The 19,103-nt window shown below is 37.1% G+C and overlaps 1 protein-coding gene across 29 annotated transcripts in view; it reads right to left on the bottom strand.

Annotated features, from left to right (window-relative positions):
- NEO1 (neogenin 1) overlaps positions 1-19,103 on the bottom strand; it is a 253,515-nt gene that overhangs the window by 115,645 nt on the left and 118,767 nt on the right. For all 29 annotated transcript variants that reach the window (XM_047432591.1, XM_011521628.3, XM_011521633.4 and 26 more), the window contains 2 exons: positions 13,005-13,159; positions 11,135-11,255 (listed from right to left, as the gene is read on the bottom strand). In XM_047432591.1, the coding sequence (XP_047288547.1) occupies positions 11,135-11,255; positions 13,005-13,159 (276 nt within the window). The remainder of the gene's footprint in view (positions 1-11,134; positions 11,256-13,004; positions 13,160-19,103) is intronic.

Here is a 19,103-nt window from a genome sequence, read left to right as displayed (position 1 = left end):
TTTCAACATTATTTTTAAAGAAGGTTTTGAAGATAAGCACCATCACAAGAGATTGATTTCGTTTTTCAATAACTAACAGAAGAATACAACTCACAGAAGAGCAAAGACAGACTACAGTGGATCCTTCAACAAGCCGGTTTTGAACTGCATGGTTCCACTTACATGGTGATTTTTATTTTCAAACAAACGCAACAAAAAATACGGTATTTGCAGGATGCAAAACCCGACTATACAGGCAGCCTAGTTTTCATGTACTCAGGTCTTACAGAGGTGACTACAGTACTTGAATATGCACAGATCTGGGCATATATGTGTGGGTCCTGGAACCAATCTCCCATGTATACCAAGGAGTAACTGTATTTCTAAACATATGACAAATATTCCACTTCACAATCAAAGATATAAAATTCAATGGGTAAGATGTCATTTTTGCCTAATAATGAAGTTTATTTTTGCATGGGTAGGGTGGTGGTCTTGCTCTGTTGCCCAGGCTAGAGTGCAGTGGTGCAATCACAGCTCATTGAAGCCTCGACCTCTCAGGCTCAAGCAATCCTCCCATCTCAGCCTCTTTAGTACCTGGGACCAAAGGTGTGTGCCACCACACTTGGCCAATTTTTTTTTTTTAACTTTTTGTGAGGATGGGGTCTCACTATGTTGCCCAGGCAAGTCTTGAAGTTTTGGGCTCAAGTAATCCTCTTGCCTCAGCTCCCAGCTGGGATTACAGGGGTGAGCCACTGCACCCAGCCTAAATTTTGTATTTTTAAATGAACATTACTTTTTAATAGTTGGCTAATGTGTGATTAGGTTTGTATCCTTTCTTCACTCTTAGTAAAAATGTAAATTGTTACATCATTTACTAAAACCATTTTGACAATTACATAAATTACTGACTCGAACCATTAATTGTTCTTTTAGGAATTTTTCCTAAGGAAAGAATCAGAGATTTGGACAAAGACTACTAATATGAGCATTAGTAATTGAAAAAGGAAAAACAGACAGGGATAAAGAACAGAAGAATAGGAAATGACTTAAATGTCCCAAAATAGAGGAAGTAGTTAAAATAATTATAGTACAACCTTATGATGGAAAAGTTTTTTGGCCATTAAAAACCATGCCTTTGAACCCCTGTAATGATATCAGGAAGATCTCAGGATATAACAACAAGTAGAAAAACAAGATACAAAACAATATATACCAAATAATCTGAATTTAATTTTAAAAAGTGTATATACACATTTAGACATTTCCATACCAAAATGTTAACACTGGTTATCTTTGGGCAGTGATATTTTTCTCAGTGTTCTAAAATAATCATGTATTACTTTTATATAATTAGTAAAGTCTTTTTTTTTTTAAATACTAAACTCACCTTTTAATCAGTGGTAAAATTTAGAAAAGCCACCAGATATAACATTGATGACTTTCTGCCAAAAACATGACAGACAGAAGTTAAGAGTCTACAAACAATTCCTTTCACAGGAGAATTGGGTTATCTTGCAAGAAGTAAATATAGCAAATTCTGACAGACTTCACTGATATGTCTGGATTTGGTAGGAGAAAGGCAGACGCTTGGGCAGCCTGAAGGAGAAATGATGAAAACTGGCCCACCTTGAGCCTCTTTCCATTTGTGTTCATTAGCATTGCGAATTTCCAACGTAGAATATAATGTTTATATATAGCAGTCCCAAAATCTGTTGGACTGTGGAGCATCCTTTTTGTTCATTTTATTTGCTTTTTAGTAGACCCATTAATACATCTTAAAGGGCACAATTTGGGAAACACTGATGTAAGGATATTCAAGGGAAGATGGACTAGATTGAGATTCGCAAACTGTGCCCACAGGCCAAATCCAGTGTACTTCCTGCTTTTGTATATAAAGTTTTACAGGAACACAGCTACACATATTTGTTACAGATTGTCTGTATTCTGTCTGTGGTGGTTTTCAAACTTATAATAGCAGAGGTGAGCAATGTAAACAGAGACCAAATGTCAGGTAAAGCCTGAAGTATCTATTCTTTGGCCCTTAACAGAAAGTTTGCCAACCACTGTACTACATGATACGTATCTTTCAGCCGTGATAGTTTGTGATTCTAAGTTATTTCTCATCAGTGGATGTCTGTTTCACTTAAAATTTTTTAAATAAAAAGGGGGAAGGAGTGGGAGGAAAAAAAGGCAAACAGGGAGCAGGAGAATGAAGAATATAAGGATAAGTGAAGAAAGTCAGACTTGGTGTATGAATAATGAGGAGGAAATGTGCCCTAGTCACTCCAAAAAGGAACTGTTAAAGGGAGAACTACAAACTACAGATAGTTTACTAACATATCTCTGTGATCACTATCTGAGCTTAACTAGAAAAATAATGGAGTGAATTATTGAAAAAGGAAATATTTTGTAATAGTTGTTATCTTCATGAGTCTTGTTTAAAAATAATATTGAAAGTATCTGAGCATCTTCGACACACAGTATTGTTGTGTGCAGTAATAATCTTACAATAGTTTATTTTCAATTCTACCCTACACATCGGACTACACTACATATACCATTCTGTCACACTTCTAAATTTCATGTTATCAACTATTTCTGTGTTAGACCAGAGTAAGCATATTAGGACCTGCTACTTGTTTTTGTAAACAAAGTTTCACCGGAGCAGCCAAGGTTGTTTGATCTATATGGTGGCTTTTGCGCTAGAATGGTAGAGTTAAGTAGCTGTGACAGAGACTGACCCATTAAGCCTAAAATATTTACTATCTAGCCCTTTACAGAAAATTTTGTTGCGTGTTACCCTATTGCTGCCTGCCCTATTCCCCTCACCTCCCCATCATTGGCACCCATTTGCTTTTAAAATTCACTTTATCTTGAATCATGTAAGACAAATATATACTGATATGACTATTTAATTCATGGTGCCTTGCATAATGGCCAGAGGTGCATGAGTTTGTGAAGGTGGAAATAAACTATTTAGAGTGAAAAAAAAAGAAGAAAAAAATTTTGTGGGCCTGTCTAGACAGTCAATTATCTCTTAAAGCAATTAATCTTAAAAATATATTTTTATATTTACTTTAAAAACACTCTAGCCCACTTTGTTTTTCTCCTTTCACATTTCTTGTAGCATGGGTATGTCAGCAACAAATTCTCAGTTTCTGTTCTGAAAAGGTCTTTATTTCACTTTAATTTTTGAAAGATATTTTTGCTGGGTATAGTTTTGGTTGCCTTTTTTTTGGTTGCCTTTTTTTTTAAGGACTTAAAAAGTTGCTCTGTGCTCACTTGGGCAGCACATACACTAATACTAAAATTGGAACAATACAGTGAAGATTACCATGGCCCCTTAATTATTTTTTTTTAAACTAAAAACTACTGCTCAGTGTCTTCTAGCTCACATTTTTTTTTTTTTCTGGCAAAAAGTCTGCTGCAATTCTTATCTTTGTTCCTCTGTATGTAATGTGTCTTTCTTCTTTTTAAATTTCCAATTGCCTTCAAGATATTTTCATGTTTGGTTTCCAGAAGTTTGACTATGATGTGTACAGGCATATTTTCTTTTTATTATTATTATTATCATCATCATGGTATTTAGTTTGCTTGGGGGTTGTCTGAGCTTCTTTTTGGTTGTGTGGTTTGATCTAATTCATTTTTTAAAATTCTTGGCCATTATCTATTCAAACATTTGTTTCTCCCTGTCCTTGTTCTGTTTTCCCTGTGAGACTCCCATTTACTTATAATTTACTTATGTTATAGCCTCTGATATTGTCCCATCTTAGATGCTCTGTTCAATGAATGACGTTCCATTGTATAGATGTATCACACTTTGTTTATCCATTCAGATACCAAAGGATATTTTGGTTGCTTCCAAGTTTTGGCAATAATGAGTAAAATTCTTCTAAACATTTGTGTGTAAATTTTGTGTTAGCATAAATTTTCAACTCATCTGGGTAAACATCAAGGAGCACAACTGCTAAATTTTATGATAAAAATGTTTAATTTTGTAAGAAACTGCCAAACTATCTTCGAAAATGGCTGTACCATTTTGCATTCCCAGCAACAATGAATAAGAGTTCCTGTTGCTCTACATCCTTGTGAGAGTTTGATGGTGTTGTCAGTATTTTGGATTTTAACTATCCTAATAAGTGTGTAGAGCAGTTTTAGGTTCATTGCAAAACTGAGCATAAGGTACCAAAATTTCCTCTGCCCTACACATGCATAGTTTCCCCCATTATCAACATCCCCCACTAAAGTGGTACATTTATTACAATTGAATAACCTGTATTGAGACATCATTATCACCCAAAGTCCATAGTTTATATTAGTGTTCACTCTTGATGTTGCAAATTCTATGGGCTTGGACAAATTTATGACACGTATCCTCCCCTATAGTATCATACAGAGTGGTTTCACTGCCATAAACATCTGTGTTCTGCTTATTCATCGCTCTCTCCTCCCAAACCCTGGCAACCACTAATTTTTTTACTAACTCCATAGTTTTGCCTTTTCTAGAATGTCATGTAGTTGGAATCACACGGTTTTTAGCCCTTTCAAATTGGCTTCTTTCACTTGGTAATTTGCATTTATAATTCCTCAAGTGCATTATGGTTTGACAGCTCATTTCTTTTTTCTTTTTCTTTTCTTTCTTTTTTTCTTTTGAGACAGAGTCTCACTCTGTCACCCAGGCTGGAGTGCAGTGGTGCAATCTTGGCTCACTGCAACCTTCGCCTCCCGGGTTCAAGTGATTCACATGCTTCATCCTCCTGAGTAGCTGGGATTACAGGCATGCACCACTACGCCCAGCTAATTTTTGTATTTTTAGTAGACACGGGGTTTTGCCAAGTTGGCCAAGCTGGTCTCGAACTCCTGCCCTCAAGTGATCTGCCCACCTCCACCTCCCAAAGTGCTGGGAGTACAGGCGTAAGCCACGGCACCTGGCCTGGTAGGTCATTTCTTTTTGGTAATGAATAATATTCCACTGTCTAGATGTACAACGGTTTATTTATTCTTTCACCTACTGAAGGACATCTTGGTAATTAGGAATAAAGATGCTACAAACACATTTGAGGGGTTTTGTGTGGACATAACTTTTCAACTCATTCAGGTAAATACAAAGAAGTGCAACTGCTGGATCAGATGTTAAGAGTGTGTGTTGTTTTTGAGTTCTTGGTTTGACTCATCTTGTAGTCTGTAGGAGTATACCTCAAGTAATTTTAAAAATAAAGGTATATATGAAACCCTGTCTCTACTAAAAATACAAAAGTTAGCCAGGCATGGTGGCACGCACCTGTAATCCCAGCTACTCGGGAGGCTGAGGCAGGAGAATTGCTTGAACCCGGGAGGCGGAGGCTGCAGTGAGCTGAGATCGCGCCACTGTACTACAGCCTGGGCGACAAGAGTGAAACTCCGTCTCAAAAAAATTAATTAATTAATTAATTTTAAAAAAGGTATATAAAGAATGAAATTTGAATGGTATATTTTCTAAGAACATCTTTCTATTGCATAGAAGTCACAAAGGCTGAAATTAGTTCTAATGATTAGTTTCTCTCTCAATAGATGGGCTTATTAAAGTCTATTAATTTTTGCTTGAATGCTGAACACGGTATGCTGAACAACAGTAAGTATTATTTACACCTGAAAAATGGTATGCTTATTTTTCTGTCATGTCATTAGTGTGAAAGAGTTTAGTTAATCTAGTCAGGAATTGAGCTTGGAATGGATTTTATTGTTATAGTTACCTTAAGTATACTATAGGTTTCAAATTCCTCTACTGGGAGACTACCATTGTCCTGTGCTTAGGAGCCAGAGAGTTTCTCTCTCTTTTTTTTTCCTTTCCTCTGAGTTTTCAACCACTCCAGCATACCAATACCACAGGATATCCCTCTGTGCTCTTGACCTTTCCCAAACAGTAGAAAGTTCATGGTTGAGGCAGCTAGGATTCTCCATTGTTCTGGTCCAGCCTCAGTCTTAGGTAGGCCCTCTGGCTCTTCTTCCTGTGGCAGTCAAAATCTGCCTTGTATTTGTATCGGTCTTAGGTAGAAGTTTCCTACTCTTCCCCTAGTAGTAAAAGACCTCTCCTTGGTATCAGTGTAGAATCCTGAGGCCTAAAATGATTTCTGCGCCTCTTTCAGAAGTAAAGGGTTTTCTCTTCTACCCTTTCCCCGGCATCAATGAGTCTCTGCCTGCATCCTGGGGACAGGAGGGTTCCTCCTCTAAGCAGCACAGGGGTTTGACTTCTAATCTCCCTTCAGAAACGTATGAAATCAGAAGGTTTTCTGCCCCTCCCCCACTGGTTTGAGGCTTAAAGGAGAAGGGTCTGAGTAAATGGGAAGGCCTTTGTCCTGTCTCCCAGGCACAAAGGCCTCTCTGCATCATTCTCTCTCTGCAGCTGCAGATCATCACTTCCTTCATCCCTACACCACAGAGATGGCTTTCTGTAGTCTCCTGCTTTTGCCTCCTCTTAATTGGGAGTACTCTGTGGAGCCCCAAGGAAAAGTGTTTGCAAGAAAGTGTAAACTCCCATTCTGTCTGAGGCCCCCAGACATTCCAAATTAGGCCATAGTTGGCCTTGCAGTTAAAGGCCTTTTAGTTAAAACTCTAGGAGTTTTCCTCTTACTCACTTTTACAGTAGCCGTCTCTTTCTCTTGTGTTCTGCCAAAAGTGAAACAATGCATATGATCTATGCCTTTGAGGGGGTTGTGTGGGGAGGGTTGTCCTTTTTGGAATTTAGGTTATTTGGTTGCTGTTATGGTTTGGCTGTGTCCCCACCCAAACCTCACCTTGAATTGTAGCTCCCATAATTCCCACGTGTTGTGGAAGGGACCTACTGGTAGATAATTAAATCATGGGGGTGGTTCTCCCCATACGGTTCTTGTGGTAGTGAGTAAATCTCACGACATGATGATTTCATGAGGGGTTTCCCCTTTCACTTGACTCCCATTCTCTCTTGTCTGCCACCATGTAACATGTGCCTTTTGCCTTCTGCCATGATTGTGAGGCCTCCCCAGCCATGTGGAACTGTGAGTCCATTAAACCTCTTTTTCTTTATAAATTACCCAGTCTCAGGTATGTCTTTATCAGCAGTGTGAAAATGAACTAATATATTTGCTTTGCATGCTCAGCTCTCTGCTGGGCTCAAGAGAACCTGTGACGTTGTAGATTACTAAGCTCTTTATGTGGTGAGAATGGGATTTTCTTTATGCACCTCTTTATATCCTAAACAGAAGTGGAAATCTCCTTCCACTTTGATCTGCCCTCTTTTTCTGTTTTTGTAAAGGTGTCACCATTCTTCTAGTGATATGGTTTGGATGTGTCCCCACCCAAATCTTATCTTGAATTGTAACTCCCACAATTCCCATTCCACCTCCCAGTGGAATCACCCAGTGGGAGATGATTGAATTATAGGGGTGGGTCTTTCCTGTGCTGTTCTCGTGATAGTGAATGAGTCTCATGAGATCTGATGGCTTGGAAAATGGGAGTTTCCCTGCACAAGCTCTCTCTTTGCCTGCTGCCATCCATATAAGATGTGACTCGCTCCTCCTTGCCTTCTGCCATGATTGTGAGACCTCCCCAGCCATGTGGAAGGGCAAGTCCCATTAAATCTCTTTTGTAAATTGCCCTGTTTCAGGTATGTCTTTAACAGCAGTGTGAAAATGGACTAATACACCTAGTTACCCAGAACTTGGGTAAACCTTGGAAGTATCTCTGGCTTCTCTATAACAATGTTTAATGTTCAATCAGTTGATAAAGTCTCAATCAGATAAATCACTAACACCTCTGACATAGTCTGGATATTTGTCCCTGCCCAAATCTCATGTGAAAAGGTAATCCCCAGTGTTGGAGGTGGAACCTGGGGAGGTGTTTGGGTCATGGGGGAAGATCCCTCATGGCTTGGTGCTGTCCTTGAGATAGTGAGTTCTCACAAGATCTGGTTGTTTAAAAGTGTGTGGCACCCCCCCACCTCACTCTCCTGATCCTGGTCCTGCCATGTGAGATGCCTGCTCCCCTCTTGCCTTCCACCATGATTGGAAGCTTCCTGAGGCCTCCCCAGGAGCCAAGCAGATGCCAGCACCATGCTTCCTGTACAGCCTGTGGAACTGGGAGCCAACTAAACCTCTTTTCTTTATAAATTACCTAGCCTCACGTATTTCTTTATAGCAATGCAAGAACAGACTAACACAATCTCCTTAGTAGGATCCTTTTCCACCGATTTCTCTAGTGTAAGTATTTATCATCTCACAATGGCCTCATAACAATTTTCCTTCAACCAGCTTGCACTCTGTCTTCCTCTAAACCTGACTTTATCATCATACTCATTACACATGGCATTGTTTTTATTATTTATAATCATGCACTCTGATCCTATTCTGCTGTTAAAGGCTACCTTACTACAGGAACAGGTCTTCTATTTTATTTCCATATTGATCCAGGTCTTCCTTTGAATTAACATCTAGAAATCTTATAATTCAAGGCCTATTACAAAGGGGACACCTTACATGAAAAAATTCCCTGATCACACAGACAGAATTCCTCTCTTCTGAACTGTATGCTGCTTTATTTATGCATCTGGACTGGTATTCAAGTTTTATATATCTCTTACATCCCTTATTATATTGTAAACTCTAAAAAAGAAGAGCTCAGATCTAGTAAGTTACTGTATTCCTTCTTTTAGCTTTCCTGTATAAATATTTATCTTGCAAATTAAAACAGCAAAATAGAAAACACAATTAATAACATGACACTTACTCTCCTTCTTATAATCTATGCATCTTTAATACATGCCCAATAACGTCACTAAAAAATTTCATCAGCTCATAAAACGCTATTCTCAAAAAGAGAGAAGCAAATACACTATGACTACAATTTTAACACTATCCAAATATTTTCAGAGGAAAGCCCAATTAGGATTAGTTTAGGAACTTCCTGGCATACTTAACCATTTCTACTGTTAGAGTTAGATTTGTAACAGTAATCTCAAACACAAATATAATGAAGTGCCTTTGCTTAGTTCCATGTAAATAAATATACCCCAAATAGCTACGAGGTTTACTAAGAAAAGTCACTGCCACAAGTAAAAAGAAATAAGCCTATCTACCTCACTAATTCTGCTAGTGCCTTATTTAGTAATTGTACTCAGGCATTTCACCAAGATGGAAAAATGGCATGCTTCTACTAAAATCATTTCCAATAAACAGGGGAGGGTATATACAAACCTAAGAAGAAAAAAGCAGTTCTAATATTTTATGCTTTTCTGTAACAGCACTCTCAAGTATATTTTTCAAAAAATAGCACACAAAAATCCTACATATATGCCATGTTAGTGAAAAGCCAGAGTAGGTGCCATCTTTGCCAATTAGCTTCCCTGGCCAAACTACAATCATCAGAGAAATTCTTCCTGGAGGCACACCAATACCTGATTGTATTTGACTTGAATAAAAGATCAGATGTCTAAAGTGGCATCTTTTTCATGTATTTTTGAGAAATGCTCAAAATGAAAAATGTTTCAGTTGCTAAAACAAATGAATAATGCACCCAACAGGTACCCTTATCAATTTAACACAGAACTGTTATCCAATAATTCAACTTCTAGTAATTTAGTATAAGAAAATAATCACATAAAAAGTTCAATACATCCTTGTTTGTAATAGGAAAAAACAGGTGACAATCTAAATGTTAACCAATATAAAATCTGTTATATAAAACAGTGTATATATATATATATACATATTATTTAATAAGAAACAATATTGATGCAGATCAACTGTTGACACAGAAAGATATACACAGCATGCTGTTGCAACAAAACAGGAAATTATAAAACCATACACAGTGTACCCAGGTGGTAGGATTTGAAGTGTGTACCAGTTATCAATTTACTGCCTCTCAGCTCCAAATTCTGATTTCATTGCCTATGCTGCAAAAACAGAGCCATGTCCTTTATATACTTTTCCTTTGCCAGCTGGCATATGTATTAAACTTTATCAATAGAAGGCAATGGAGATACAGTACAGAAGAAAGGAGTTTCCTTCCTGGTTCTAGTGTACTACCCTGGCAGCCTCCTATAGCCAGCAGCTTCCCCTTACACCTGATCCACTGGGTGGTTTTGTAGCAGAATGCCTCCAGTGAGATACCTCTCTGTAAGCAGCTTTCCCCAACCCTCAAGAAAGGAGATTTTGAGCAAGTTTAGAGAGCAAAACACCACATCAACTTCTCTGCCATCCAGTAAACCATGGTTACACCCTCTCCAACAGGGTCTGGATCTCATCCGTAAAAAGAGGGGCCTCTTCCTGAGGGCTCTATCTCAGACCTAGGGGTTGTAGTTGCTCCTGATAGTTGCCATTCTTATATTGTCTAGAGTTCTCTTTACTTCTTACTAGTCAAACCTTTGTTACTCCAATCCCAATATCAATGTTAATTCCTTATGTTAAAACTCTGCTCAAATTACAGTGTGGGTTCCCTAATTTGAGATACAGGATGGATTTTTTTCTTTATACTTTTCATTGTTATCTGAATTTTTAAATAATAAACTTGGTTTTTTGGTGGTAATCAGAAAAGGTAAATTAATTGTATTCTGGAAAAACTAAAAATTTCAATGCAAAATAAATACTAAGTTTTTCTAAGAAACGTGGATTTGATAAACTACTGCCTATGATTTTAACTTATGTTTGATATATAGTAGTCAGGGTTTTATGAATGTTGACTATTTTGTGCCAACAGCCCAGAATTGTCACTTATATGTAAGCAGAAAACAATGAGCTCTGCTTCCAAAGTTATTTAGTTTTCTCAGTGTTTGAATGTTATTTTTTGTAAGTGTATTAATAAAAGTGTATAGAATTGGAAAAAAAAGAAGTTTTTCTTTATAGGACAGAAATATATTTGTGAGATTAAGATGACTAAATTCTTTTAAAAATTAATTTATTAAGACTATAATATTCAGTTTTCCTTTTCTTAGTAAAAATTTCTTTTCAACATTATCCAAAATTGTGCTTCTAGGTAATTTTATGTAATAGAAATGATTTAGACTGCTATTCTTTTTCTCTTAGCTATGCCACATATTGGCCTTTACTAATGGGTTATCAATCATGAGTTATTTGGACGGATGGGTGCTTGTTCATCAAGCACACAGCCTCTATCATCTGACTATTTCAGCCCTTCTTACCATGTTCAAGGATTATCAGTTGGGCTCCAGCTTGTGCATTTCCAACATCATTTTCAGCAATGCACTGATAGAACCCTTCATCTGATTTCACCAGACCCAAAACTTGAAGATTATGTTCCTTCTGAAGAAGAAAAGCATAAATAAAATTACATAATTTAATTGATAAATACCAGATCAAAATCTCAAAAATATGCTTTTTGGAGAGGAAAAAAACAAGTAAAGTTTTTATGATCCAATTATTAAATATTATCCAAGTACTTGTTAACTCAATTTCATACTAAAGCATTGGCAAGGTACCAATTTAACTGAATAGAAGAGTACATACTGTCATTCACGATGAAGAACTTAACGCATGGAAAGTCATACTCTCACTGTTTGCAAACTACACCTTTGCCTGGAAAAAGATCTGGCACGCAATACCAACTGACCACAGTTAAAGTCCAATTTGTGAATTTAAGGTATTATTTTTCCTAAGACTATCTATAATATCAATAGTTCTAACAGATTAGACTACAATAAATTAAATGAAGCCATGTGAGCTTTCCTTAAATGAAAAAGTACTATATGAATGTCAACTATTACTACTGGGCCAGGAGCAGTGGCTCACACCTGTAACCCCAGCACTTTGGGAGGCCGAGGCAGGAGTATCACTTGAGCCCAGGCGCTGAAGACCAGACTGAGCAACACAGTGAAACCCCATCTCTACAAAAAATACAAAATTGGCTGGTCATGGTAGTGCGTGCCTGTAGTTCCAGCTACTCAGGTTGGCAGGAGGATCGCTTAAGCCCAGGAGTTTGAGGCTGTGGTGAGCTATGATCAAACCACTGCACTCCAGCCAGGGTGACACAGCGAGACCCTGTCTTAAAAAACAAAAAAAATTTTTAACTACTGTTATTGGTATAATAAATATGATTTAAAAATTTTCTAGTTTCCAAATATTGATTTTAAGAGGCTATTTTAACTATAACAGATTGCTTTTTAATGTTAAATACTTGTAAATTACTTTTTGCAACAGGAGATCATGCATTTCAAAAATAGAAAATATATTTCTAAGAATGTTTACTTGTATGACAAATTTGTAATGAGACATTATGTCTTTAACAACTATAGTTCTGATCATTTTTATGAATGTCATGTATAGATCTCAAGGTATGTCATTAATCTTTATTACTAAAGCTGGATAATTCTATTACTAAAATGTTAGATATTGATGATAATAGTAGGTAATATCTAAGAATCATTTACTATATATAAAGTATAGTAAAAAGCAATTATGGCTGAGTATTCTTAAATACACTTGACACTTTTTAAATGCATTTTTAAAAAAGAATCTTTATAACTATTGCTACCACAATTGTCCGACACTGGGTCATCCTTATTTTGAAGGGTCTGGGCATCGGTATACGATTTAAGGTTAAGTTTTGTATAGTCAGTTGCATTCTTACATATTATGTTTTTCAAAAGGATCATCTTTCCACACTTCAAGGAGAAGTGTGGAAAGATTTCTGCTTCTTGAACAGAGAGCTGTGAAGACAACTGGGGACACACATACACGCACACACATGTGTGCTAATCATCTGCCAGAAAATGGTGGCAGCTGTGTTTCAGAGTGCCAGTGTGTTCAAGTAAGAGTCTAGACTCTAGGCTTAGGTAAGCCACTGACTTGCTATGTGATCTTACATAAGCTACCAAAGTATTTCTGGGCTCAGCTTTCTCATCAGCCAATGAAGGTATTACATTCTATGTGAATTCTTCTATTTCATTTGCAGTACACAAACTAGTATATATAAGATAACTGATCTCTCGGTGACTACATTTAAAAATATCTAAAGGTTACAGAAATAAACACACTTCTTTGAAAAATACTTACTACAATCTTAAAATAATCACTTGGGATAACCATATCCCCATTTTTGACCCACTTCACAGTTGGAGTTGGTTTTCCAGTCACTTCACATTCAAATACAATATCCATAGATTCGTGAGCATATATATTAGTAGGCTGCTTCAGGAATTCAGGTTGAGCTTTAAAATAAAAAGGAAATTAAGACATTAATGAAAATAGAACTAGGCAGCTATTCATATTTCAACCAATTTTTAAATCATAAAATCCACAGGATTTTTACTCATTATTTGAAGCTTTCACATATTTTTGCAAAAGCATAAAATAAATATATAATAAAAAATACATGTTAGGAATACAATTATCTTTAAAAAATGATTTGCTGGTACAACTAACTGTTTTAAAGATAATTTCTGAGTTTCCTTATTTGGAACTATTTACTAAGTTGACTATATTGGAGAAATTAAAAATGTCTAAAAATAAATATTAAAGAATACTTCCCTAAGATTTATACCATTTTTTAAGAGCTATAATTAGAATTCAAAGAGTGGAAAAGATTGATAAAACTTTCCTTTTCAGTCAGCTTGATAAGTAAGAACAACAACAACAAAGTAAAATAAACGTCACATTAGAGTCCTTAAACAGCTCACTCATGCAACACACTCCTATTACTAAGATCCCTCATTATATGCAATGGTTTTACAGGGTGACGGGGAAAGGATAAGTACATTTGAAAAAGTCTGAATATTCCAGTAGCTCCCTTTCCACATGCCCCACAGCTGTAAATTGCTAACTTACAAATAATAGATCATAATATTTTTAATTAGAAGGGTTGAAGTAGATCTAGTCCAGCATCCTACCTAATGATATAATTTCCTATATGACATCCTTGACAAAGGGTCTTAGCGATCTGTATTTGAAAAGTGTGAATGACAGGAACTCCCTACATCACAAAGCAGCAAGCTCCACTGCAGGCTAGTTCTATGAAATAACAACAACAATGGCAACGACAGCAGCTTTATTTACAGTTGACCTAACATCTGCCCAGCCTGCTGGGATTTTGATTGGGATTGTGTTGAATTTGTGGCAACTTGACGTCTTAAAAATATTGTCTTCTTTTCCCTGAACACAGGTTTATCTCTCTATTTAAGTCTGATTTCTTTCATAAATGTTTTACAGATTTCAGTAAGCAAATCTCATTCATGCTCTGTTAGATAAATACCTAGGTATTTCAAATACTTTTGATGCTATTCTAAGTGGTACTTTAAATTTTTTAAAATTTCCAGTTGTTCTCTGCTAGTATGTAGGAATGAAATTGATTTATGTGTATTAACCTTTTATCCTGTGGCCATCCTAAATTATCTCATTAGCTGTATCAGCCTCTGTAAATACAGTTTGGGGATTATCTACATAGACAATCATGCTTGTATGTGAGTAGAGACAGATTTATTTATGCCTTTCCAATCTCCCTTTCCTTTTTTAAAAAAGAACTTTTTTGGCCTATTGCACTGTCTAGAGCAGGCCCTGAAGAGAAATCTAAACTAGCTACATAACTTAGGTAAATGAAGAACAACAGTACAAAAAGGAGATAGAACCCCAGTCAAGCAGAACCTCCCCCAAGGAGGGAAATCATGTATAATCTTAGGAAACAACATACATTCACAGTGATGGAAGATCCAGAAAACATAAATCTGTACAACAAGATGAAATCAGGGAAATCTATTAATAGCAAATTTGACTTGATCCTTTCAAACAATGACAAGCCTTTTGTATTTATTCTTTTGTGAATTATGTATATAAATATGCTGCCGTTTTTCCAATTAGAGTGTTTATAATTTTCTTATCTATATATAAGAGCTTTTGGTATAATGAGAGTTATTATTTCAAGGCTCTCAGCTCCAAATCTGTCCTTCTTTGCAGTAGTGGATATGGACTTTTGTCAGCTGGTGCTTTGTTGCACAGCAAAGCAGAGTGATGGGCTTAATTTTCAGTTTGGAGGATGCTCTTCTTTTTGCTCCTATGGTGAGGCTGATTGTGAAAGACCCAATAATGATCACCCTCCTGTAAGTTTCTCTAGCTTACTCCAGCATGGGGCTTTCTGTGCACCAGCTCTGACACACTGCATCCCATTGGATAGGGTCCTGTACACCAGCTCCAACTCATGTCATCCCAGTGGGCAATTTTCGGCTTATCATCTGTCCAGCCCACAGCACCCCAGCAGGTGTTTTCTGCACACCAGCTCTGAGGCCTCCCAGCAGGGGATTTCCTGTGCCCCAGCTTTGGCCCATAGCTATGTCCTTTGGCAGCAGCTACACTTTCTTCAACAAGGTCTGAACAACAGTCTTCCTGATTTTTGGATTCTCTCCCTCAGCTCAAGAGGTAGTCATAGCTAATCCCTATATTTACTATTTTTGTATTCTTTAATGTCCTATTTTGCCCTTTTTAGTAAGTAGATTTTAATAGTTAATAATTCTTTTTTTTTTTTGAGATGGAGTCTCGCTCTATTGCCCAGACTGGAGTGCAATGGCGTGATCTCGGCTCACTGCAATCTTCGCCTCACAGGTTCAAGCGATTCTTGTACCTCAGCCTCTCAAGTAGCCGGGATTACAGACGTGCACCACCACGTCCGGCTAATTTTTGTATTTTTAGTAGAGACAGGGTTTCACCATGTTGGCCAGGCTGGTCTCGAACTCCTGACCTCAGGTGATCCACCTGCCTCGGCCTCCCAAAGTGCTGGGATTACAGGCATGAGCCACCGCGACCGGCCATTAATAATTCTTTATATTAAATTTGCTCTGTTCAAATGCCTAGTATAGTTTCTGGCTCCTAACTGGGCCCTGACTAATACAGTAAGCTATACATGCTGCCAATATTTGTTTCCTCTTCTGTCTTTAACTTAAGGCATCTATTGTAACAAAGTTTTACGTTTGCATATGGTAAAATTTATAAGTTCTCTCCATTTTAGCATCTGTATTTCACTATTTTTACTCCAAAGGCTTTCCCTTCTTCTGTACTATAACAACATTCACTTGTATTTTCTTCTAATATTTCTACGAAACAAACTAGACTTACTAAGTATCCAGCTTTACATATATCTGGCAAGATCAGTCATCCCAAAAAGAATGACAGATTTGAAAGATTTAATACTAAAATCTACGTACTCTTGGGGGTTTATTTCAGGACACTAATTGGTTTCATCCATCTGCCTATTCCTGGGCCAGAACCATAAAATTATTATAACTATGCAATATGTTATAATATATGGTGGAACAAATATTCTTCCTTTATTTCCTCAAAATTTTTCTAACATGTTTGTTTAGTGTTCCACTCCCCAGATAAATTTAGACTCATCTTATGTTAAGTTTGTCTGTTCCTTCTCAAAGCAAACAGACAAACAAGAACTTGGAGTCTTCATTTGAACTGCAATACATTTTAGATACAGGAAAACTGAAGATGTTTGCAACTGTGAGTCTTTCTATTTAGAACAAGGTTACTTAAGCTTACTTGTGTTAAATAAAATTTATGGGAGACTACTAATATGGATTGAGCTTCTACTCTACAGATCAAACCAAACAGACTGAACCAAAATGCAGTCACTCGTGCCAAAGTTGCATATCACCAAACTAAACCTAAGTTATTTATCTGACCTTCTGAGAAATCAGGAGAGTGTGTGTGTCAAATCCCCAAATGGGACAGTTTTAGCCAACATAAGAAAGTCCCCTCTGCTTTGACCCTTACAATGAAAGTAATCTGAAGCAACTAATGTTAACCAATCCACTGTTTCTTTGTTCCTGCTCAAGTTTCCCTACAAAAACTAACTGTTCTGCCTGCCCAGTGTAGTGCTTATCTGTTCTTTAGATGAGATGCTGCCTGACTCATGAATTACTATTAAAAGCCATTATATCATTTAACTAAATTTGTAAAAATTCTGTCTTTTGACTCTTGGATATTCTTTGAAGTGATTTACTGTGAAGCAGTTGTAAAGACTAGGAGTCAAGAGACATAAAGTTGAGTTCTGGTTCTACCACTGGACATTTTGCTAAATGTGGGTTTCAAACTCCTGGGTTACTAAATAAGGAATTCAACTAGACTATTCCTAAGTACACTAAGATCTTTAGCCAATGATTTATAACTTTAACGTATATCTTTGATGTGTGATAATGAACACATCAAAGCTAACATTCATAAGCGCTTTCCACTTATAACCATTTAGTTCCTAGAACAATTCTATTATGCAGTTAATATTATATTATTTCCATTTTATAGGCAAGGACACTAATACACAGAGACGCTAAGTAACTCCATAGCACAAGGCTTAGTCAGTGACAGATCTGGATTTTGAACCTAGGCAGTCTGACTCCAAAACCTATATTCTTTTAAAAAACTTTTTATTTAAGAGAATAGAATAAATCCTATGTACCTATTACGTTGATTCAACAATTATCAAGTCATGGTCAATACTGATTCATCTATGCCTTAATCCATTCCATTCCCAGCCTCTACCCTACACACATATTATTTTGAAAGCAAACTCCACGTATTACACTATTTCATATATAAATGAGTACCTCTATAAGCCAAGAACTCTCATTTCTAAACATAACCATGATACCATCATCAGGCTGGTATCTAAAATAATTTATTGGCCGGGCATGGTGGCTCACGCCTGTAATCCTGGCACTTAGTGGGGCCGAGGCAGGTGATCACCTGAGGTCAGGAGTTCAAGACTAGCCTGGCCAACTTGGCAAAAACCCGTCTCTATTAAAAATACAAAAATTAGCCAGGCGTGGTGACTCATGCCTGTAGTCCCAGATACTCGGGAGGCTGAGACCGGAGAATCGCTTGAACCCAGGAGGTGGAGGTTGCAGTGAGCCAGGATTGTGCCACGGCACTTCAGCCTGGGCGACAGAACAAGACTCTGTCTCAAGTAATAATAATAATAATAATAATAATAATAATAATAATAATAATAGTTTCTTAATATCACCTATTACCCAGTCGGTATTCACATTTCACTAACTGGCCAATGTTCTCACTCTGTTGCACAGACTGGAGTGCAGTGGCATGATCATGGCTCACTGCAGCCTCGACTTCCCAGACTCAAGTAATCCTCCTGCCTCAGCCGCTCAAGTAGCTGAGACTACAGGAACGCACCACCACACCCAGCTAATTTTTTGATTTTTTAATACAGAGGAGGTCTCACTATGTTGCCCAGGCTAGTCTCAAACTCCTGGGCTCAAGCGATCCTCCTACCTTAGCCTCCCAAAGTGCTAGGTTTACAGGCATGAGCCACTACGCCTGGCCTCTATGTTCTTAAAAATGATCTACTTTATTCAAATTGGGCAAACAAGGTGCATTCACTGGTGTTAATTTGTTTCTTAGGTTTTTTTTTCCATCTACAGACTCCTCTTTATCTTTTGTTTGAAATTTGTTTAAGAAACCAAGTCATTTGTAATATAAGGTTTTCCTGCAATCTGTCTTTTGCTGACCACATTGCCATAGTGGTATTTAACATGTTCTTTCTGAAAGCTCACAGTTAAATGTAGAACCCTGATTGGAGTCAGGCTAGTTTTTTTTTTTTCCCCCGAGACTACTTCATAGGCAGTTCCATGTGCATCTATCAGGAGGTTCATCATGTGTGTCTATCTCTCTTTTGGTGATGTTAACAGCCTTTGGTTATCATTGCCCATCAGGCGGTGCAAAATAGTAATACTCTTATTCTATCACTCATTCTGTAAAGAGAAACATCCCTTATATTACTTATTACTATATTCCTTCAATTATTAGGATAACCCCACAATTATCTGGTTATCCTAAAGTACCGTACTTCGAAAAGGGGCAGAATAAATGCTTGACTTTTTCCCTTCACTTACGTTTTCAAAACAGTGAGCTGGTTTTCTAATATCCTCTCCCAAAGGTAATTGCTGAGGATTTTTCATTTAAGTATTAAGAGCCTTTAGTTTAAGATATATTTGGTTTGTTTCAATTCACTCAGGTTATTATTCTTTTGATTCTTAAACTATCCCATATTTGACCAATGGAGGAAACCTGAACACAGTGAAAGCTCCTGAGTCCTTTTTCACATGACTCTATTGGACTTCAGTTTATGGTCATTGCTCTGAGACC

Source organism: Homo sapiens, chromosome 15 (assembly GCF_000001405.40).
Source record: "Homo sapiens chromosome 15, GRCh38.p14 Primary Assembly".
Taxonomy (NCBI): domain Eukaryota; kingdom Metazoa; phylum Chordata; class Mammalia; order Primates; family Hominidae; genus Homo; species Homo sapiens.
This window is presented reverse-complemented; position numbering and strand designations above follow the sequence as displayed.